Source organism: Homo sapiens, chromosome 20 (assembly GCF_000001405.40).
Source record: "Homo sapiens chromosome 20, GRCh38.p14 Primary Assembly".
NCBI lineage: Eukaryota > Metazoa > Chordata > Mammalia > Primates > Hominidae > Homo > Homo sapiens.
Window position 1 is genome coordinate 46,060,151 of NC_000020.11, and position 23,178 is coordinate 46,083,328.

The following is a 23,178-nucleotide window of genomic DNA, read 5'->3' on the forward strand; positions in this document are numbered from 1 at the left end:
CATGGCCTGAGATGTGCTGTTTGGACACTCCAGGGGGCCCTCCAGGAGGACCCCACACTCTTAAATCAGAAACACTGACCACCGACAGAAGAGATGGGCTAATGGCCCAGGTCTGGTGATCTAATTTATCCACCGATAGCTCCAGGGCCCTGGCCTGGAGAGCAGCACTATCATCTCCTAAGAGACTGGCAGGCACTTACTAGGTGTCAGGCTGCACTGGCATCTTCTAGGAGGTAGTGAGCACTTTCTAAGTGTAGGTGTCAGGCTGCACTGATACCCCCAGGAGGCAGTGAACACTTAACTGGTGAGGCTCAGTGCTCTTGGCACGTTGGTCCCTAACTCACTGGAGGCCTGTGCCACCCACTTCACCACACCCACCCCAAGTTATTAAATGCTCTTCAAGGCTCCTTCAGGTTCTATGAATTCTGCCAACTCCCTGCACAATGGGTAGAACAGAGGGTGGCAACTGAGACAAAATGAAAACAGGAAGTGCCCCCCTACCAATGGCCATTAACCACAAATGGCCTCCTCACATCCTGTTTTCCTTTCCTAGAATAAGAGGACAAGGCTGCTGACACAATGAATGTCTACCAGAAGCAGGATGTTGAACACAGCACTATAATTAGCCAACAGGCCTTTGCTCTGAACTGTTATTAAAGCCTCTAAGTGAGCTACCTATGAAGAGAAGGCAGGGTTCAAAGAGGTTTGAGGCCGGATCATATGCTGAGGACAAAAGGGGGCAGACCAGAGTCCTCGAGACAGGAGCCCTCACCTCTGACTTGGGGAAAGCATCCTGCAAAGAGCATATTCACACCCAAAAAAGATGAACAAAGCTTTTACTTTTTTCATTTTAATTAAAAAGTAATCATTTCATTTTATTAACAACACAAGAGTTCCAAAGAGGAAAAAAAAAACCACTATATAACACAAACAGGTCAGAACATAAAATGCTGCCATTTGGGGACCTTGAATTTTGAAACCATTGTTTGCTTAACCACTGGCAGGGACTCAGCTGAAGTCGCTGCTCTCCCTCACCCCTGCTAGAGGACCTCAAGACTGTGATCCACAGGGCTCTACTGAGCACAAACCCTGGGGAGAGGGCAGCTTCCTGGGGCTCCATTTAGAACCACAGCCAGAAACCCTCCTTCTAACAATTTCACTCTGGTACAAAAGTCGCGAACAGCCACCCATCTCGAGAACATGTCCAGCTACCAGAAGTCTGACATCAAAGTGGTCCCTACCTCCTGCTGCTCAGGAAACAGAATAAGAGTCTAGACAAAAACAAGAGCCTGGGGTTTTGAGCCAAAAGCCCAAAACAAATCACTGAAGAAACGGGTGTTCACGGCCAGAGTCTCAGAACCAACTTCATGGAAGTGCTGCTGGAGAGGGGGATGCTGACAGAACTGGTTAACAGGGAAGAGTGGTGGGGCCCAGATTCACAGTTTGTGGTAACTGCTGCTGACTGGAGCTGTTCAGTCCATTGGAGATCTTCCAATGAAATGAAAACAAAAAAGAAAAGAGAAAAAAACAAAAAACAACCTTGGCTCAGAGAGAAAAATTCTTTTTTCTGTGGCTGCCATGGCCATTCCTCAACAATCCAGAGTGGCTGATTTATGAATCCTCAAGCAGACCCCAAACATATGGGGTGAGGGTATGATGACACTGTGCCTGCCAAGGCCAGTTTGCTTTTCTTCAACTCTAGGCAGGAGTTGCAGGCAGGAGCTTGAGCTCTGGTCAATGTGTATGAAGCTGGAAAGCCTTGGTAGGTTCACAATGAACAAAGGTGGTGGCTACTGACATGACAAATGCCATTCCAAACTTGGCTAGCTGGGCCTGGCTCCAAATCCAGTAGAAACAGGGACCGGAGAAACCCCATCAAATACAAGCCCAGACACCTGTACTGCCCCCGGAGATATTTATTTTCTACAAAACAAAAAACAAAAAAAGATACAGCCCCAAATGCAGTATAAACTTTGTAAGGAATAAGCAACACAGCCTTGGGCAGAAGAGAGAGCAGGTGGTAGAAATTGATGACACTCGATGCCGGCCTGGGAGCGCAGAGAACATCCTCCAAACAGCTCTATTTAGAACAAGTAAGTGGGAGGAGGCCAGGGGATGAGGGGACTGGGGAGAGTTGAAAGATTTAGCTTCAGTAATGCCTCTGGTAAGATCCCATGGGGGCCTGTGGCTGCCCCATCTGTGCTGTGGTCTGGCTAACCAGGTGGGAGAGAGCAGGGCCACTCTGGATCAGGGTATCCAGAGCCTTCTGTACACTTGGATTGTCAAAGTTGATACCTGTGGAAGACACAGGCCTCTGGCTAGTCATGTTGCTAGCAGGTGCCAGGCGACTGGAAGGCTGGCCAAAAAGCCCTTGGGAAGGAGCCCCAGGTCTGGGGCCCATGTTCTGAGCAGATCCTCCCTGTCCCAAAATGCTTGGAGGCTGATTGCCAGAAGCCTGTGATCTTTGTTGAGGCTGGCTGTTTGCTGCTGTGGAAAAATTCTGGTTTGGGGTGTTTCCGGCAGCAACCGAGGGGGATGCAGAGCTGCTATTGGCCGTCACTGTGCCACTATTGAAGAGGCTGAGGATTTTGGCCTGAAGCTCTTGCTGGGAGGTGGGGGGTGCAGATGGAGTGGGTGTAGCAGAGGGGAGCACTTGGCCGCTCTGGAGCGGTTGGGAGCTTGGCTGTGTCTTCAGCGAGGCACCCGAGGTCGCCCCGAGTGGTTGGCGGGAAATCGGGCCTGGAAGACAGAAGAGGGAGGTATCTGGTTCAAAGTACCCCCCAAGGGCAGGAGGCCTAGCAGCCAAAGGAAGAACAACAATCACTGAGTCACATCAATCATACAGTACACAGACGATAACATCAATTTCCCAAAGAGGCCGCTTCATGATATGTGCTGTTTACAGAAAACAATAGGCTAGTTCCCCTAGAGAACTGCTAAAAAACAAAAGGGCATCCATCCTGGCTACCACGGAGCCAGCAATACTAGTCAATCCACCACATTAACTATAGGGATCAGCATTCAGTACCCAAATATAAAGTTATTATTAACATTATATCAGCATGGGTGGCCCACGGGAGAACCCAAGGGATGGACTTAGTTCCCTTACCCACTCCAAAGAGCCCTGGGCCTGACACCCTCCCAACAGAGCCTGGGGATTAGAGAAATGCAGAGTCAGAACTTCACCTCGGCCCTGCCACGTAGCTCACCAGGCAGAGAGTCGGTGCTGCTCCTCATCAGCCGCTCCTTCCGCTCTCGCAGGTAGTTGATGATCTTGTCAGTCTCTTCAGCAGTGAGGTACCTGTTGTCTGCCAGCAGGTTGATGAGGCTCTGGATGGCTGGAGGGTGGCCCCCACGCACTCCCTCCTCAGGGCCTCCTCTCTCTCTTTCCTGCAGGATGGCTTCATCGGCCATCTTGGCTGCCTGTCTGGCAATCTCCTCACGTTCCTTCTCCCGGCACTCATTCTTGTAACGCTCATAATTTCTGGCCACCAGCACCATGGCATCTGCTTGGGGCATGTTGCGATGCTCTGTAGGAGGAAATGACATGAGTTATTTTCTTCCATGACATATTTAAGTGCCCACCTGCTGCACTCTGTCAAGTCTTTCCTAACCTCATACCAGCAAGAAAATCATTTTGGTGACAAAAAGCCTTGAGATTGAGAGTGGGGTGGTGTGGGGGGAGAGATGAAGGCCAGGAAGGGAAGTGAACGAACACTTTTGGTGAGGAGATGCACCTTTATATACAGCTGGTTCTTTGGGGGAATTCCTAGATCACAGACTTGTAGTAAAAACCAAAGAAACATGACATCCTCCCACAGATTCAAACAGACCACGTGGGGAACAGCCATGGGAGGCAGGCCCAACAGCCTCTAGACCAGCAGCAGGAGGCCAACAGGCCCCTCTGGAAAGCAGGGCTCTCCACTGTGCTCCTCAGGACAGAGCTGGCCTACCATTTTTTAATTCATCAGTTCAAAAGTCATAGATTAAGATCAAACTGTGACCCTAAATAACCTCCTCTCCTCACCCATGGGCAACATGGTTTACTGGGTAGTGAGAGGACTCCTTAGAACTTTTGTCCTCACACATCTTGAGGACTATTCCTCAGACAAATGACCCACTGGAGATCCTTATGTAATTGTATGGTTATGAGGGTAATGGGTGAGGCAAAGAGAGATCCTGCGTATAGTGGGAAAAGGGTTAAGTCTGTGCTGTAAGAGTGAGGAGCAGGGTATCAGCTGGCGGACTCTTAATCCTCTGGGCTCAATGCATTAAAAGCTACTTCTGAGGAGGACTTCGAGAACTGGGCCTGGGCCTCTACAGGGTCACGGCCTCTTAGCCCCTCTGGTTACTTCTCCAGCACACTTACAAAAAGGACCCTAAATGCCTGTTATATTCTCTGTCCTCCATTAGAAAGCTGGCAGAAGCAAGGATTTTGTCACATTCAGTGGAGTACATGGCAGAGGTGTGCTGGAGCCAGATCTCAGTGGCAAGAGCCAACTGTGTACATTTCTTTCCAACTCTCCCTTCAGTGACTTCAGGTTGGTGGCTTGAACTGAAACATGGTGGGAGTATTTACACCATGGAGATCAGCAAATGCTATAAACGCCCTCCCCCCACACTGGAACTTGTTGTTACACGTGTGCCAGCACACCACTGTATATACCTAGTGGCTAAGTATAGTGTAACAGAGATCCACTAAGAAACTATCAGATAAGTAAGTGACTATGCAAGACTCTTCCATGGTACTTAAGAGAGGGGCCCTACCATATATGAACTGAGATATAAGAGTCATTTGCCCAAAACCTGCTTCTTCTGAGTAAGGCATAAAGGACTAATAATGGACTAGTGACTACCTCCGGTATTCTGACTCTGTACCTTGCGGGGTTCCAAACATGATGTTGACTGTGCAGGAGCGGTGAATCTGGTGTTGCTGGGTGATGACAATAGCAAAAGGAGAACCTCCCCTGCTAACATCCTCCAAGGCTTGTGACAGTGACACTTCTGTGTTAAGGAAGATCAAGTCCACTACCATGCCCAGGTCTCGCACCTTCCGCCCCACAGACTCAGCATAGTCTCTGTAAAAATAAATAAGATCCAGGTGAGCGACCAACTCCAAATCTGCATCGTGTGTCTCAAGCCAGTTGTGTGTGTTCCTACTGATAACTCAAACCTTAGTCTACCCCAGTACCGTATTCAGGATCCAAGTATCTAGACCAATACTCTCTCTCTACCCTGGCTCAGAACGGTTGTGACTTGCTTGAGATCACGTCAGAAGTTGCCAGTAGCACAGTATGATACCCAGGTCCTTCTCTTGATTCTCTAGCCCTGTGGTCCTTCCTTAAGACCATCCTGCTCCCTAAGACTTGTGGCACTTATCTCTTTTTGGGTAGGCTGCACAACACAGTGGGAAGATCATGGGTTTAACGCTAGAAACATGGGTTTGGATCCCAGCCCTTAAAATTTATTTGCAAAGTTGTGAAGCTTAAGCAAGTCCATTTACCTCTTACAAACATCAGTTTCTTTACTAATAAAACAGGAGTAACATGGCTCAGTTCATACGTCATTTTTTTGACCTTCCCTCCAATCTAAATTAGATCTCTGACATTCTCTTCTCATAGGACTCATCACCTGTATGCTTTTGTCACCTGCCCCATTGGGTGTAAGCTCCACCAGTGGAATGAGGCTATACAGCCCCAATACCCGCCATCCACCATACGTATAAAAGATTTGCTGAATGCTCATTTTTTATGATTACTGTGAAGATTAAAAATAATTTATGTAAGGCACCTAGTATGGGGTAGTACATAAAGTAGGTGCTCAGAAAATAACAGCTATTATCATGTGTCCAAAAAAAGCTCTCTAGAGTTAAAAGCAGCATCTATCACTGAACAAGACAGCCAAGAGCCTGTGAACTCTGCCTACTGCTTGGTGTCTCAACACCTATTTCCCTAGTCACTGCCTTGAAATTAGCTCTTTAACCCCAAACTGCTAGAAAATACATGAAGTTATTTACTTAGTACCACCTAGGGAAAGGGAACATAGCTACTGCCAAGCCTGCAAGCTGCTATACTCCTTTCTGCTTCTCTGCTCTGCCTCTTCAAGGAGAAAATGTAAAACAGGGATGCAGTGAAACAATGCTATAAGCCCTAGCTTGGTAACATGGTCATGTAACAGTTCTGCAAGGCCATGGTACTTCACAAAGACTTGGTTCTTGGCTGACAAATGCAGAGGCGTGTCTCCCAAAGTATTGGGCATTTGGGTTGTCCCATGAAGGGAGTATATACTACTCTGCTTGACCAGCGGCTACACCCTCTTCCACTCTCAGTCTGCATGGTTCCACAGGGCTAATCCCACCTCTAGCTCTTGGGATGGGAACATGACTTAGCCCTGGCCAATCAGAACACCCAGCACCCCTGCCAAAGTGACAGGCTCAGGGATGGGAAAGTGAGTCAGGTCAATCTAAAAAGAACTGCAGAACTTCAGGTGGAAACACTGGGAAAGAGAAGTTCTCTTTCCACTTGGCTTGCTAAGCTAAGAAGACACACGTTCAGGGCCAGTGCCATTCTGCCTCTTCAAGCACAAAACCTGCCTGAGAACAAAGGCAAATCTGAGGAAAACAGTGCTTAGAGACTAACACAGAGACCAATTTTGATGACATGGTTTGATCCTGGATGTGGCTGTGCCTCAATTTCCCAGTTAATTTTTGCTTAAATGAAAAATGTCCCTTTTGGCCTCAATTTGAATTGAGTTTTCTGTCACCTATAACTGAAAGAACCCTGGCTAACAGCGCACAGCAATGCAAGAATACACAGCTCAGATTCAGTGGATAGAGGTGCTAAACAGGAGCCTGAATTTCTCTGACTCTTCTCCTTACTGGGGAGAAATATCTAAGGGTTCTTACTTTGTCTGTTTGTTGACCACAATCACAGAACAATCAACGGGCCTTTCGGCATCAAAGCGTCTCTGGATTTCCTCAAAATATTGACGATAAAGCTCTTCTCTACGCCGTTCCTCACGTTTCAAACGCTCTGCAAAACACCACCAGGGTAAACTGAAATAAGGACTGGACCCTCATTTTAAATCCTGAGCTACTTGTAGGCAAAGGTCATAATACTCTGAATCAATCCTCTGGTCTATCTCCTAAAAACAGCCAGTATTAATATTTTTTACTATTATAAATTAACCAAAATGTAATGCTGGATTAAAGGACGTGGCCATTTTAATGCTGCATCTGATACTTACTGCCAAGCTGCTCCCTGAGAAGGCTGATACTAATTTATACCTCCACAGAGGTAGATCATCTAGTGCCTATTTCTCCACACCTTAGTCAACAGTGAGTACTGTCATTCTTTTTAAGTCTTGCCAACTTGACAGATAAGAATATTATTATTATTCTAATCTGCATTTTTGCTTTTTTTTTGGGGAAAAAATCAAGTAGTAAAGTTTAAAATTAAAAATTTAAAAGTTCTTTTTTTAAAAGAAAAAAATCAAGTATAAAGTTTAAAATTAAAAAATTAAAATTAAAAATGAGATTCTTAAAGATTTCAACTTGGCCAGGTATGAAATAATTTAAGAACCTTTAAAGATGTATTGAGAAAAACCAGGCTTTAAAAAGACATGTTTGCCTTCATCTAAAAAAGAGATGCTGTTAGGTAAAAGTTATAAAAAAAACCAAAAACCTATTTTGCCTAGATAATGCAGATAGTCAGTCATAGTTACTTGGTCAGTAGGCAAAAAACAAGCACTTAATGTCTTCAGCTCCAATCTTTTGTTCATTTTTCTCTTTTTTTTTTTTGAGACAGGGTCTCACTCTGTCACCCAGGCTGGAGTGCAGTGGCACAATCATGGCTTGCTGAGACCTCAACATCCTAGGCTCCAGCGATCCTCCTGCCTCAGCCCCCCGAGTAGCTGGGACTACAGGTGTGCACCACTGCACCAAGACAATTTTTGTATTTTTTTTTGTAGAGATGGGGTTTTATCATGTTGCTTAAGCTGGTCTTGAACTCCTGGGCTCAAGTGATCTGCCGGCCTTGGCCTTCCAAAGTGCTAGGATTACAGGTGGTGGCCACAGTGACCAGCATTTTGTTCATTTCTTATTGCTGGAATTTCATATTTATTTCTTCTTGTTGGATGACTAAACCAGATGATGGTACTAATTTGCATCTTAAAAATCATTTTCAAGCCAAATGCTCTTTACCCACTAATAAGCTACTTATATTTCTTCTTTTTATACACTGCTTGGCCAAGGCACTAGCCCTTTTTCAGATGGGGGTACTGGTTATTAGTTTCCTCTCTCTTTTGTAAAGTGTTCTATCAATAATAGGAATAGACTGTTTCAGCTACTTTACCTTTTGCACGAGACTGACTTTCTGGGCCTGGAGGGCCCCGTCCATCAAAGCTATCTCTGTAACGGTCAAAATAAGAGTCATCCTTTCTCCTGCAATAGTCATCCATTCGTAGGTATCGGTCATAAGAGCCTTCTCTCCTGAAAAGTTAAGGAAATTTTCATAAAGATAAAACTGTGTCTTATCCTGAAAAAGTCACCTAGAGAATTCTCTGGGATTAGACAAATGAGGTTTATATCTGGGACTCACTGCATTATCAGCTCTGTGGCTGTGATAGAGTTAACCTGTCTCACTGAGATGATGTACAGAAAGCACTTAGCATGGTCTTTGGCATATATTAAATGCAAAATAACTGGCAGGAATTATTGATACTAGTTTTGAGGAAACATTACATGTCCCTCCCTTGTGCTTTTTAAAATTATATCTAAACGCATATAACAATAATTTGCCATTTTAACAATTTTTATTATTATTATTATTTTTTTTTTAGTAGAGATGGAGTTTTGCCATGTTGCCTAGGTTGGTCTTGAACTCTTGAGCTCAGGCAATCCAATCCGCCCACCTCGGCCTCCCAAAGTGCTGGGATTACAGGCGTGAGCCACTGCGCCTGGCCTAACAATTTTTAAGTATACAATTCAGTGGCATTATATTCACAATGCTGTGCAACCATCACCATTATCTAAAATTTTTCATCACCTCAAACATAAATTCTGTATTCGTGAAATAACTCCCCTCTCCCCAGCCACTGGTAATCTTTAATCTATTTTCTGTCTCTATAAATTTGCGTATTCTTGATATTTCACATAAAGTGAAATCATACAATATTTGTCTTATGTCTGGCTTATTTCACTTAGCATAATGTTTTCAACGTCCTTCATGCTGTACCACAGATCAGAATTTCATTTCATTTTATGGCTGAATGATACCACATTATATGAATACACCACTTAAAAACAAATCCACACAGTGGCTTACACCTGTAATCTCAGCACTTTGGGAAGCCAAGGCGGGAGGATACCTTGAGCTCAGGAGTTCAAGACCAGCCTGGGCAACACAGTGAGACTCCACGTCTATACAAAAAAATTAGCCAGGTGTGGCGGCATATGCCTGTAGTCCCAGTTACTTGAGAGGCTGAGGTGGGAGAAGTACTTAAGCCTGGGAGGTCAAGGCTGCAGTGAGCTGTGATCATGCCACTGCACTCCAGCCTGGGAAACAGAATGACACCTTGTCTCAAAGAAAAAAAAAAAAAATCCATTAATCTGCTGATAGACATCTGGAGTGTTTTTACCTTTTGGTTATTGTGAATAGTACTGCTATGCATATTCATGTACAACTGAGTCCCTCTTTTCAATTGTTTTGAGTGTATACTCAGGAGCGGAACTGATAGATCATATGGTAATTCTATGTTTAACTTTTTAAGGAACTGCCAAACTGTTTTCCATAGTGGCTATACCAATTTGCATTCCTACCTACAATTTCTCAGAGTTTCAATTTCTCCATACCTTTCCAACACTGTTATTTTCTGTTAAAAATGTTGAAAATCATTCATACATTCAGCAAAATTTATTGAGCAGCAGCACATCTATCACTTGACAGTCACCAGAAATAAAAGGCTGATAAAATGACTGCTCTTACAGAGCTTTCAATTAGTTTAGCAGAACATACATAAAAAGAACTCAGGAAAAAACAAGCAGAGTAACTACGTATGTACCTGTACATAGGATCTCGGGAGTCTCTCATGTCTCTGTATCTGTCGTACATGGGGTCTCGCTGATCTCGAAAATCCCTAGAGTCTCTTAGATCACGAAAGTCTCTAAGATCCCTCACGTCCCGAACGTCGCGCACACTCCTGCTGTCTCTGTGATCCCGCAAATCTCTACTATGTCTGTGGTCCCGCAAGTCTCGGGGGTCTCGAATGTCTCTGCTGTCCCGGGCATCCCGGCCATTTCTGCCATCCCTGGGCTCTCTCCTTGGACTTCCTCGAATTGGGGATCGATCACGCCTTGAATCTCGACTGTCTCCAAAGCCATATGGATCCCTGTGGGAGGTAGCAAGAAAATGCTAAGACAAAGAAATTGAAAGTAGCCAACCCATCAGCTCTTCATATGAGAAAACCCCCACCCTCCAAGCATTCTTCTCTAAAACAGGGCAGCCAAACAGAACATGACTCAACATTTAAGGCCAGTCATCCATCTGGTCAGCAAATAGTCTAGAGGTTCCACAATCTCAAAAGATTAGGACATCAAAAGAATGCATGACCAAAAACTGAAGGTTTTGACTGGATAACAGTATTCATCAGGCTTTCAAAGTGAAAGTGTCTTTCCACCAGACTTGCTTGAAAGAGACTTTACAAGGGGTAAAAAGTTGGAGTGACAGAGTAAGGAGGCAAGACTCATGAAGAAAAAAAGAGCGAATGGCACAATCTTATAAAAGTGATCAAAGGAACTGTCCTTAAAGTACGGAAAATGCACTTGAAGTATCTTGGCAGGATAATAAAATTAAGGGGAAAAAATTACTATAAGATACATACAGTAAAGGACCAAGAACAATCTGTTTCTCTGTTTTGTCAGGGCTATTGAGTATTGGTATCTCTCAATCTGAGGGTTTACGTAGAAGCTGATTCCATTTTGCTCAAGATGGTTTAAAAAAAAAAAAAAGAGAACAAAACAAAACAAAAAAACAACCTGAACAGTGAAGTCACAGATATGCTTTGTCTGCTCTGACTCAATGTTCTTCATGAGACGTTTCAACCCACTGGAAACTCCTCTTCAACATATTTAAAATTAAAAACTTCTTACCCCAACCCCATCAGTCCCATTCCCCACTTTTCCACTTTTGACAAAATCATCTTTCCACTTATCAAGTTTTAAGTTCTTGAATATTAACTATGCTTTTTCTTCCCCCATCCCAATAAAGTCACTTGTGTCCCGTTCACTTTTTCTTTCCATTCCCATTGGATTTGTAAGTCCAATCCAAGCCCTTATTTCTATTCTGACACCAACAGGTTTCCAAAACACAAAATTAAAAATCAACCTACTTGCTTTCAATTCATTCAACACATAAATACACTAACTATCCTAAAATGCCAACTTCTATGTTAGAAAGCCTAATAAATCTGACAGCTATTATCTCCCTCTCATTTCTAATTCAACCTCCTCAGTTCTACTTAATTCTTATAACTCACAAGATATAATCTATCTCAATAGTTTTATTTATTTGATTTCTATACTTGGAATATTTTTCCTGCACTAATCCAAGTACCATCCAATCCACACAGGCAAGTTCGTGTCCCATGTCTTCCAAGAAACCTTCCCTACCCTTCCTAACTGCTGATCTCTTCTGCTCAGCTCAGGGCACTTTCTATCTGTATTACTCATCTTGATCTGGCATTTACCCTTTTACAACAATGTCTTATGTCTGACCCGCTTTAAGGATTACCTTCTCCGTAAAACCTGCCCTGAACTCTTGATCTTCCCCAACAACCATGCTCCTCCTCCAGTCCTTCCCATCTCAGTAAATGGCACATCCAACTACTCAGTTACTCAAGCCACGAAACTGGATGTCATCTTTCCCTTAAAGCCTCATCCTCCCTTCCAACCACATTTCCAAATTTTCTCCATTCTTTCTCAGTTCTGCCCACTTTCCTTTACCTTCTTTGGCAAAACTGAAGGCCAGCGCATAATCATCTCACCCTCAAACCACAGCAAGAGCCTTCTAAAGCAGTCTCCTCATTTCTGTTTTTGCCTCTTTCCAAATCTTTCTCCAGAAAGATCACTCTACAGTGATCTGTTACGTATGTAAAGCCCTTCCCTGGTTTCCCACAGTATGTATTTATTTTTATAGGGATGAGATCTCACCTATGCTGCCCAGGCTGGAGTGCAGTGGCTATTCACAGGTGGGATCACGGAACACTACAGCCTTGAACTCCTGGGCTCAAGTGATCCTCCTGCCTCAGCCTACCAAGTAGCTGGAACTACAGATGTGTGCCACTGTGCCAGGCTCCCACAGTATTTAGAATTCAATCTACAACCTCTACCAATGCCATGAAGGTCCTGTATAATCTTGGCTCCTGTCTTCTCTAACCCTGTCACACCCTCTCCCTAGTTCACCACTCTTTGCCACACCGGCCTTTCAGCTCTGCCTAGCCAACGTCTTTCCTGATCCCTTTACGTGAGTAGCAGGAAGAGATCTATACTCCTCTTCCAGGTCTCAGCATATAAATATCCCCTACTCCCTGATTGTTAGATTCAATCAAAGTTTACTTTCTGCCCCTAAAATTCTCTCATAGCACTGTTTTCACTTTTGTCATTTATCACAAATTGACATTACATATTTACTTAATGTCTGTCTGCCCTACTAGACTACAAGTGCCACAAGGACAAGAACTATGTCACTTTGATTCTGCACTACAAACCCACTATGTAGAACAATGTCTGTTATACGACAGATGCTCTATATGTATGTTGAATGAATCTTGCTCCAGTACAAACTTCTATAACCGCACTTACCACACTGTTCTGTAATTGTTTACGTGGCTTCCCTACCAAATAAGAAGTTCTCTTGAAGGCTTTGTAGCTCTAGGATACACCATAGGAGTTCAGTAAATGTTTAATGAATTGAATTATTCTACTAAACTGTAAGCCTCTCAAGAGCAGGCAGCATGTTTTGCTCATACTTTTGTCGTCTACCATGGTTACACACGTTAGGTATTCATCATGATGTCATCAGCTTGTGGAAAACCTCACCTCAGCTACACGGGCACAGCAAAAACAATTTAAATGCCAATTTTGCTTCCATGAAAAATATTTGTTATATATTCTAAGGTTCACCAGCATTCCTGACTTGTGAGAGCAAACATATCATAGACCAGGGACTTTAAATGAGAATAGCTAAGCATTATTTTTCTTATTAGAATAAAGTAAAGACTAACCAAGATTCTTACTTCAACCTTCCTTATTACATCATATAATCTTCCTAACATGTAACATCTGATGTAGCATGTAATGTGGGCAAACACTCAAGATCCAAAGAGAAAGGACAACTGCAAAGTATTTTTGGATTAATGATCGGCAGATAAACCTGCCTTGGGGAGCAGTTAGAAGTAGTCATTAGAGGTGGAATCCAATTTCAAGTGTTCTTGGCAATCAGGGCTGAGATATCATGATCCTGACAGACCACAGACCACACACAAAGCCTTGGGCTGGTGGAAATCGGGGTGGGGCATGTCATAGCATGTTATTTACCACCTTCGGAGTATTATAAGTGTTATGTTATGATTGGTCCTCATTCTTTTGAATCCACTGAAAAACCTTACTTACCTGTCAAAGTCCATCCCTGCAAGTTGACTAAAACTCTAGATTCGCAAAGTCTGGGTTCAATCTTCCAGTCTGAGAGGGCAAGCCCCACCCTTTCCCTCAAATAATTTGAAGTCCATGTGCAACAAAACTACTAATTCCCTCTCAAGTGCCTTCAGGGTAAAAATGTAGAAGAGGTGATATTCACAAAAGGAAAAAGAACCAAAGGCATGGTGGAAGTAGGGACAAAGAAGATAATAATTTTCTCAAAAGGAAAGGCAAAGCCTTTTTTCCTTTCTCCAAAAGATAAACACTATGGTAGACTGCTGTTCTTCTGGAGACGAAAACAAAACAAAAAACCCTTTAGGGTTGCTTTAGGACCCAAACAAAGAACTCCTCAGAACAAAAGGGCTCCTGCTGCTGGCCCCAACATATTTTTCAAAACAAGACTACAGCTAACAAAAGGGCAGTAGTATGCACGAATCAAAGTGCAAGAAGACAAAGCTTCCTGTGGGAGACGCTGGACCTCAGATGATAAGTGGGTTAGAATCAGGTTTCTGGAGCATAATAAGGTTAACAATATCATCCCACAGCACCAGAGGTGTTTTACTAAAGGAACCAAATGCAGCATACCCTCAGGTACTACATCACTAGAGGATAAAAAGAAACTGAACAGTGGTTAAATTTCAGCACTGGAGTCCACAAACTGAAGGCAGGTGGCAAACACAACTAAAATTCTGCTGTAAATTCCTCATCTATTCAGGAGGGGGAAAAAGGCAAATACTCTTTGCCTTGAGGGGAATATAGTCACACTGCTGGGAAACATTTGAGACGTAAGGGCGAAAGGGGTGAAGGGGAAAACAATGGCTCTGGTGGCAAGTGATGAGCTTCTGGTAGAATGTGTCTCTTCCTGAGGACTAAAGGGGTGTGCAGAGCACCAGGCATGTGACAGCCTACAGAGTAAGAACTGATAGATGATCATCTTGGAAAACTGTGATGGACTTTGAATTTCTCTTTGGCAAGAGACTGAAACTTCACATCCAAGATGGTTTTCTTTGGCTTTGGTTCTACAGACGGTCAGGGAGGAAGACCCCTGTCTTTTTCTTTCTTTTCTGCAAAGGTCAGCATCTCCTTTCTTCCTTTCTGTTCACCGGAATGTCTTCCTTGGGAGGGCCAGCCTCTTTCTGACCCTGAAAAATCCTTCATTAGCTCTTCAAACTTCTGTCACAGATATACTGTCCACAAATATCATCATCTAAATGGCTGGCTGCTGTATGATGTTGATCCTCCACCAGGAGGGCTTCATGCTACTGTTAGAAATGGAGACAACAGACTTGTCCAGAATATTGCCATTAGGTGGAGGTAGGATATGGACGTGCAATGAGATATCACACCTCACAGACCCAAATTTTACACATGTCCATGCTTTTCCTTAGGAAGCACTGACAACCTTCTCCAGCACAAACAGAACTTTCTTATTGGTAGAGGTGGCAGCTGCTGAGAACTGATGACTTCTTCAAGTGTTACTGCAGAGGTAATCACAACCTGGAATTTCTTTGTGGCCCACCTAGAGCAAGGGCTGTCTCACAACCAGGGAGCAAGCAATAATCAAAAGCATTAGGGCCCTGTGGATAAGCAGAAAGCATTTCAGGTCATATAAGAAACTTGTCTACAGCCAGGTTATTTCTGATGAGCCGATACCCAATGACTTTCACCAAAGAGATACCAGGTTTAACATCTTTCACAAATATATGGGGAAAAATCCTCTGCAGAGCGTTGGATGCAGACAAGTTAATTCTATTTGTTCTTCTTTAAGTCATTCAGAAGTACAGTCTTACTTCTTGTACCTAGAGGCCACATCTGCATAAAGATATGCTACAAGATCTGGACTGTCAAGGTGTTGAGCTGAAGATGGTAACTGAGATATCTAAGGCACAACTGGAATCATGATCCTGTCTTTGAAGAAGGACTAATGCTTAGTATCGATGCTTGACAACTTGCATGGTAACTATGCAAGGTACTCACAGGAGTTCAATGAAGTGGCCCTCAAGAGTTAGATGATAAGAATTCAGGCTGAAATGTGATCCAGAGCAGAGATTCCTCATGCAGAGTTCTGTGCTTGGCTGGGCCAATATTGTCAGAATTACACACTGACAGCTGGAGTCATCAGGGAGTCATATTATTGAATAGAGAGCAAAGCCAGCAGAACTGTGGTTTACTGAAACATCTGAAGAGGTGATAATCCTGTAAAACTCCCAAAGATACCTACGTTAAGTCCAGCAAAACAAGGTGTTATAAAGGTCTTGCCAGTATGCTTATACCAATATTCTTATTAAACGTAGAAAGCGCTAAAAATGTAGAGGTATAACTTTAGGAAATATTTGCCATAGGTAGTGTTTTTTTTCCCCTGTGAATGATGCACCCCCTGTGGCTGGGGGCATACAAAATGATTAGGGCTGCCAAATAAAGGCAGTTTGTTGTTGTCAACTATTGATACATTTGGAGTTATCTCAAGGCTTTGACTGGAAGCATGCACCCAAAGGAGGTACCCAGTGTTCACCCTCAGTTAAATGATTTGCCCCTTCCAGATTAATTACTTGCCCGTCTCACCTACTCTTTGCAATTTATGTCTGCCCTATTGGTATATCTTAAGAGATAAAGTATGATCAGGACAATGATTAAAATGTTAGTGCTCGCTATTTTGAATACAATGTTAAACCTGTCTTTTTTTTTAAGGTAAAAAACTGGGATTTTGAATACAATGTTAAATTTGTCTTTTTTTTTTTTTAAGGTAAAAAACTGGGACTCTTAGTTCGGTTTTTAGATGGGGTTACTAATGGTGACCATCATTCTTCCCTGAAGCAAATAAACATGACTGTATGGAACTTCATCATGTTAAATAACATGCTGAGGAACCCAGCTAGGGAAATATCACCAAGGGGAAGATGGATTGTTAATGGAATTTGAATTAGCCTAGCTGTCCCTCCTGTTGATTGTAAATAAAGCAGGAAGTCACTGCCCTATCCACACCACCAAATGACCTCATTTTACAATTGATTTCTGAGGAAGGTGATATTTTAAAAGGCATACAAAGGTGACCTGTATATTTATATAGTTGGTAAGGAGCTCATTTTATTTTTTGAGACAGGGACTCACTCTGTTGCCCAGGCTGAAGTGCAGTGGTGTGATCACGGCTCACTGCAGCCTCAACCCCCTGCACTCAAGTGATTCTCCCGCTTCAATGCCTCCCCAGTAGCTGGGAGTACAGGCAAGAGCCATGACGCCCGGCTATTTTTTTGTAGAGATGGGGTTTTGCCATGTTGCCCAGGCCGGTCTCAAACTCCTGAGCTCAAGTGATCCGCCCACCTCGTCCTCCCAAAGTGCTGGGATCACAGGTGTGGGCCACTGTGCCTGGCTAGAAGCTCATTTTATAAGGCCCTCTCCAGTGCTGTCTGTATGTTTGTTTGTGCGGGGACTATTATTTAAAAAAAGCATAAAACTATTTCTAGATTGGGGTAAATTAATATTTTTAATTTAATGCTCTGGCAACGGCTATTACTGGGTTTCAACCAGGGAAGTTGGTCATTCCCCAACACTGCAATGTTTGTTGAATATCTACAATCAACTAGAAATGTTAAAAGCATTTGGTTAAGTATCATTAACAGGATGATATAAAATACCCTTCTCAATCCATAACAGAAACAGGATCTATTCTCTATTCTGCAATGTGGCTTATTTGTTGTTGTTGTTTTTGCCTGCAGAAACACACAGACATTATCCAGAGATCACCAAGTATCATGGAGACAACAGAGAGGGGTAGGATTTTACTAGCGGAGTCAGTGTCTTTTATAGTTACAAATTCCACACTCCTGGTAAGTCACCAGGAAACACACACGTTAGCGCTCTTTGGAAATTGGATACACACCTTATCTCCTTTCAAGCCACCTGGCAACTAAAGATTCCAATGGGAACCCTGTACTTCTGAAGATTAGATGCAACTCTTATCCACCTGTATTCCATTCTGTGCTGGGACAATAAGGAGCAACACAGATAGGACTGCCCAAGATCTGTGGCATGGTTAGATGAAGGCTAATGAAAGCAGACATTATACGGAACTGCTGAAGTTCTGCAGGATTTGTTTATGTTCTTCAGGATACTCACACATACACACAAATCAACCAACAGAGTATTTACCTGCAAGCTGCAAGCATTCTTTAGAGAGAACAGACAGAATACCAATTTACATGCCCACTTCCGCAGTGAAACCAACGAATGGCCAGGGAATCCACACGACAGCTGTGGTATATAGCTGTAGCTATGGTATTGGATTCAACTCTGCTGCACAGGCAGAGTGGACAAAGACTCCAACTGAATGAAACCAGCAGCATTACTTGCCCTTAGGGTCTGCTTAAACTGCAGAGTGGGCATGCGTAATCTATTCCCGGTAGCTAGAACTTCACATCCAAGTAGGAGTATATACATGAAACACACAGTGGACATTCTTTCATATAAGCAGGTAACAAAATACAGGTGTTTTTGTCCAAAAGCAGGACAGCTGTATGTTATGCGTAATGCTCAGTTAGTTGGGTTCACAAGGTGACCAGTGGAGCTACCAGTACAGACGAGGATTCACTGTATGCAGCACTGTCCAGTTCACTGTAGGAAATGCAGTTTACTGTGGTACGTAGTTTAGTTATGTTTCTGGGGAAAACTGGCTTTTTTACTTAGAGGCAAGGCAAAATCAATTAATCCATTTGGGCCTTGAAGAGACACCAGATATGAAATATATCATTCGTATGAAATATATCATATCTGTCTGCCCTCTACACAAAACTGCATCCACTTGTGTGCTGTTATGGGGCCAGAACAATTGAATACAGTATCTTTATTTTTGGTGTAAATGGTATCATTAATAAAGCTCTTCTTTGAGAGGAGGGACCAATTTAATGTGTATCTTGAGGGTACACACCAGGATTATCTCTTTTGTATACACCGGAAGGAAGAATACATTGGGAAAACACCCTCGATTTCCGTGAAAGCTAAGAAAAAGGGAGACCTTCGAGAGCTGGAGTGTTTTGCCCTTTTTATTTCCCCTCAAACAGATAACCCAAGTATGTAAGCAAACAGGGGATCTGCAGCACAGGCACAGCGGCAATCTCTCAAGCAGCACTTTCCGTAAACCTGGGTTAACATCTGGACCGGCAGCCATTTGGAATGAAGAGTCGAATCTCTGCTGCCCACTGCAGTGCAGCATGGCATACACCAATGACTCTGGGGCACTCCTTCTGCTCTGGAGGCTCCCAATGACACGTGAGCTGGGGACAGACAGAGGTTTATCCTCTTCCAATTGCCTGCAACTCATGTTGCAAGCTGAACTTGCTGGATTTGCCACCGAAAACACAAAGCTTCCTCTGTATCTCCTGATGTATGTTTAAAAAAAGCAGCAAGGCCCTTCACACAGGGTTCATGTTCTTATTGTTTGCTTGAGCGTTTCACTTGTTGGGGGGAAGAAAAGACCTTTGGTGTACGAAGCTGGGCTTAACTCCCCAGAGCCCAACTCTCCCAAGGTAACTCACGGCTTCAGGGTACTTTACCTTCGTGTGGGGCTGGGTCTTGATGGAGCCGTATTCATATTTCTTCTTTCCGCTGCCTTATTAATATCTGAAAAGAATAATCAACCCATCTGTTCAATGCTACGGAATAAAAACAAGATCATCAGCACATTTCAAATGAAAGCAACAACAACAAAAACTACAATGACAACCAGATGGTGTAAGAAAAGCCATTCAGCAGAGACACACTGTCACTTGGGCAATTTTTATTATTGAGTTAAGGTAGTACATTGTCACGGCTTGGTAAGAAATGTCCCTTCGTTTTCTAGTTAACACGTAATTTGTCTTAAACTAATTACGTCAATGCTTTAACACGCTGCCAAGACCTAGACCTGACACATTCCCTCCAAGGGGAGGAAAAGGTTGTTTTCTAAACTCTTAGAAAGCAGCTGTAAGATTCTTTTTGTGAGGAAGAAAGTGGGGGGGAAGATAAGGAGAGTTTAAAAAACAAAAGAGCAAAGGCAAATAATTCTATTTTATGTTACTAAGAAGTAATAGCTGGATTTCATTGTCTTAAAACTTCCAATATCCCATGAAGCAGGGCCTCCTGTTAGTGTGTCTTGTGTTGAATTCCACTGGATAGAATCTTCCAGAATAACATGCAGGAAAGAAAATTATTATTATTATTTTTAATAAACAAAGAATATGACCTGTTAACATCTACAGATAACCAAGAATAAGGACTGGCGTTTGGTATAGTAGGGTTAGGTAATAAAACACTCCTCCTAAGTTGTTTTCATTAGAGAAGGCTGGCGTATAGAACTAGATATGGGAGAAAAGTAGAATCACATAAGCTTAAAGAAAAGCAAATTTGTATAGCTAAAGCCTGCTTTGCTAAAAACCAAGAATACCTGCTTTACAAAAATTGAAGTGAATAATAAATACCATGTACTAAGAAATCTATGCCCCAAAATAATACCTGACAGTTTTCATATGACTTAAAGCTAAATAAATACATTACAAATTTCATACTTCAGATGAATGAAGAAATAAAAGTGCTTTCTGCTGCAGTAGAGTTTGTTCCCCTTTTTCCGTATTAAACAATTAATAGTGTATCTAATGACATCAAATGGTATTAAGTACTCACATAATTCGAGTGCTTTAAAATAATAATTATGTATTTTAAAAATCCCAACCAGATTCCTATCACATGAAAGACCACAGCAATAACAAGAAACTTAGAGGTCTGGTAGAGATTTTATGCTGCTATTTTGCCAACTTTTGAGTTCCTGATCAAATGAAGGTAATCTTCAATTCCATTTTAAATCAGAAGTCTCTAATTTGTCTAGAAAAATGGCTTCTGACAAAACTGAAAATAATATAAAGCTAAATAGTGAAGTATATCTTAAATTGATTCTTACCTTTTCAATTAAGCAGACACAAGATATAATCCTTCTATTTTAAAAAAAACCTGAAAATATTTTCTATGTAAGACTTGGCCAGTAATATCTGACCATAGCTTTGCTACTGCATGCAGTACTTTCACAATTTACAACTCTTAAAGTTTATAATGGTCTAAATTACAAATTATATAATGACAGGCCTTATAGGGAATATCTAGTTCTATTATACGTAATTGTGAAGAATACTAGTTCAGGTTTATGACTTACTGAGTCTGTTCACTTACTGTGTACCACTTTCTAATTATATAGGTTGGCTATGATTCAGAGAGAAATATAATATCTTTGAGTATTTTAAGTAGTTTTCAAGGTGTCTCTGGAATACACTGGGTGTGTATTAAGATAAAAAATATACATAACATAACTTCAGCAGGAGTTCATATATTATTAAATGGTCTTGTGAATAAAGGAAACTCACATCTAAACACTGACTAGACCTGGCAAACATTCAGGTTAAGAGTACAACACATATAGTATTACTTTAATTGGTAGGTTTCTATTACCAATAATTTGCTCTCTACATATGAAAAGGAATATTACACTGTATAATTATAGCCAGTTTCGTGAGCATCTACATACAGAACTGGAGAAATCACATGGTCATGTATACTATATCTTTGGAACAAAACCAGTTCTAGTTAGAATGAAGGACATAAATATTTTACTTTGAAGCTGGTGGAATCGTTTTGTAATTACTTAAAAGATTAAAGAATATTCAAGATTATATCTTTAAACCATTTTGATTGTAATTTGCCTCGTAGTATCTATTTTCATTGGGTAGTCCAAAGTATTTATATTTGACAGCATGGGATGTTTCTTCTGCAAAAACAAGAATTCTCAGATAATTGTCTCATTTTAGGGTTTAGTAAACTTTTAGTGTAGTATGTCAAGTATCTGTTTATTCATCTCTATTTAAGAGTTCCTTAAATTTCCATCTGGGCTGACGTATGGAGAAAATGAGACCTGGATTTTTTTTTTTTTCCTATCTAATAGAATTGCTCAGATTAGGGTAGGGCTGGGGAGTTTTCAGTGAGAGTTGTAAAAACACAACCACCAACATTACTGCCAATCCCCATACACCCAAAAAATCCTAACACATGTGCACATAGAACTTTTGGGAAATCCATGAGTTCAGAAATACAGAAGAATAAATAACTTTAAGGAACTAATCACGGAGAGCAAAGATTCAAGAAGTCAAGAAAAAACTTCCCTCATCCTATTTTTTTTGTCACAGAATTTGAAAACCTGTCAGTTGGAAGCAGAGGGTTCATTTAAAAAAGATTTTCTTTGAAAATGCAAATATTGAGAATGCTAAAGCACCAACTCACGGCTTTACATAAAAGGAAGAAACCAGAAAATAATCCAGAAAACATGTAGGAAATGACAGAACTGTTTTAAACCACAAAAGAATGGGGTGAAGAATTCCCAAAGAAAGACACAGTATCTAATCTATAGTTTTATTTTGTATTAAATAATCAGATTATTTTCTCCTAAATCCTTATAGAGAGATATAATCAACACCAAGCAAATAGAAATGGTGTTAATGTAAAGAAGGGAAAAAAAGGTAGAAAGACAATTTGGAGATCTTTCTGGACATCAGATGGGGAACTCTGGTTGGAGAAAAATTAATCAACAAGAGGGAAGTGGCAACTTGGGAATCTCTTCCAAGGAGAGGTCTAATGTCTCCTCTGAATAGAAAAGGGAAGAAACGGTACTTCTTTCCCCTTCTGCTATACTTTATTCTGGCCAACTGCCCTTAAGACCAAAAGTCATCTCTCAGTGTCTTCTCCACTTCAGTTTGGGTGATACTTCTATACTTTGTTAATTATACTAGCAATGTGAATGCCATTCAAAATCATCATAATCACCATGAAGTGCTTTATCTTGGCCTGAATATCTATAGTGTCCAAGTGGTGGTCTGAAAACAGTTAAAAGCACTTCTCAGTTAAGAATTTTTAGACAAGAAAAAGAGCTTTACATACAAGGAAAAGAACTGGAAAATAATCTAGAAAACATGCTGGAAATGGCAGAACCATTATAAACTACAAAAGGATGGGGTGAAGAACTCCCAAAATATACAATATCTAATCCACAATTTTATTTTAGACTAATATGCCAGACAGGGGTCACAAAATGGTCCTTGGATAATGCTATAAATAAAAATGCATGTTTCTTTCACTCACAGTACCAAAAACTACTTTGTTCTACTTATTTTTTAATTGTACAATCATAAAACAACTCTTTTCACCTTAAAACCAGATTTTATAGTTCATAAGCTACAGCCACAGAAAACAATGAGGACTAGGAATAACAAGAGCGGTGTCAAAGAAAATTTCCAGGAGGCCATTGCTTTGGACTGAGCTCCTGAACTAGGCCCAAAGACCAAACCAAATTCATGATGAAGTTCCACGCTATCAAGCCAAGACAAAGATCTTTTCCTGACGTTCTGCGAAATCAGGAGATAAATAATGGCCAAAACCACAAATAGGCCAGTTTTAGCCAGCATGAAAAGGAAGTCTGCACT

The 23,178-nt window shown here is 41.8% G+C and overlaps 1 protein-coding gene across 5 annotated transcripts in view, besides 1 other annotated feature; it reads right to left on the reverse strand.

The window, feature by feature from the left end:
- The window catches only part of NCOA5 (nuclear receptor coactivator 5), a 28,972-nt gene continuing 6,634 nt past the window's right edge, over nt 841-23,178 (reverse strand). Inside the window, exons 2-9 of one of the 5 annotated variants that reach the window (NM_001348150.2) lie at nt 19,237-19,303; nt 10,232-10,386; nt 10,060-10,088; nt 8,352-8,488; nt 6,905-7,031; nt 4,879-5,078; nt 3,187-3,530; nt 841-2,739 (exon numbers count right to left, since the gene is read on the reverse strand). In NM_001348150.2, the coding sequence (NP_001335079.1) occupies nt 2,692-2,739; nt 3,187-3,530; nt 4,879-5,078; nt 6,905-7,031; nt 8,352-8,488; nt 10,060-10,088; nt 10,232-10,378 (1,032 nt within the window). In that variant the 5' untranslated portion in view covers nt 10,379-10,386; nt 19,237-19,303 and the 3' untranslated portion in view covers nt 841-2,691. Of the gene's footprint in view, nt 2,740-3,186; nt 3,531-4,878; nt 5,079-6,904; nt 7,032-8,351; nt 8,489-10,059; nt 10,387-19,236; nt 19,304-23,178 lie in introns of all 5 variants that reach the window. The other 4 variants (NM_020967.3, NM_001348149.2, NM_001348148.2 and 1 more) reach the window with 4 other exon arrangements.
- Nucleotides 3,924-3,983: an enhancer, noted in NCBI's record as "active region_17957". NCBI's record gives its function as "activates an Ori minimal core promoter by ATAC-STARR-seq in GM12878 lymphoblastoid cells {active_cell/tissue: GM12878}" and the evidence as "EXISTENCE:reporter gene assay evidence [ECO:0000049][PMID:35858748]".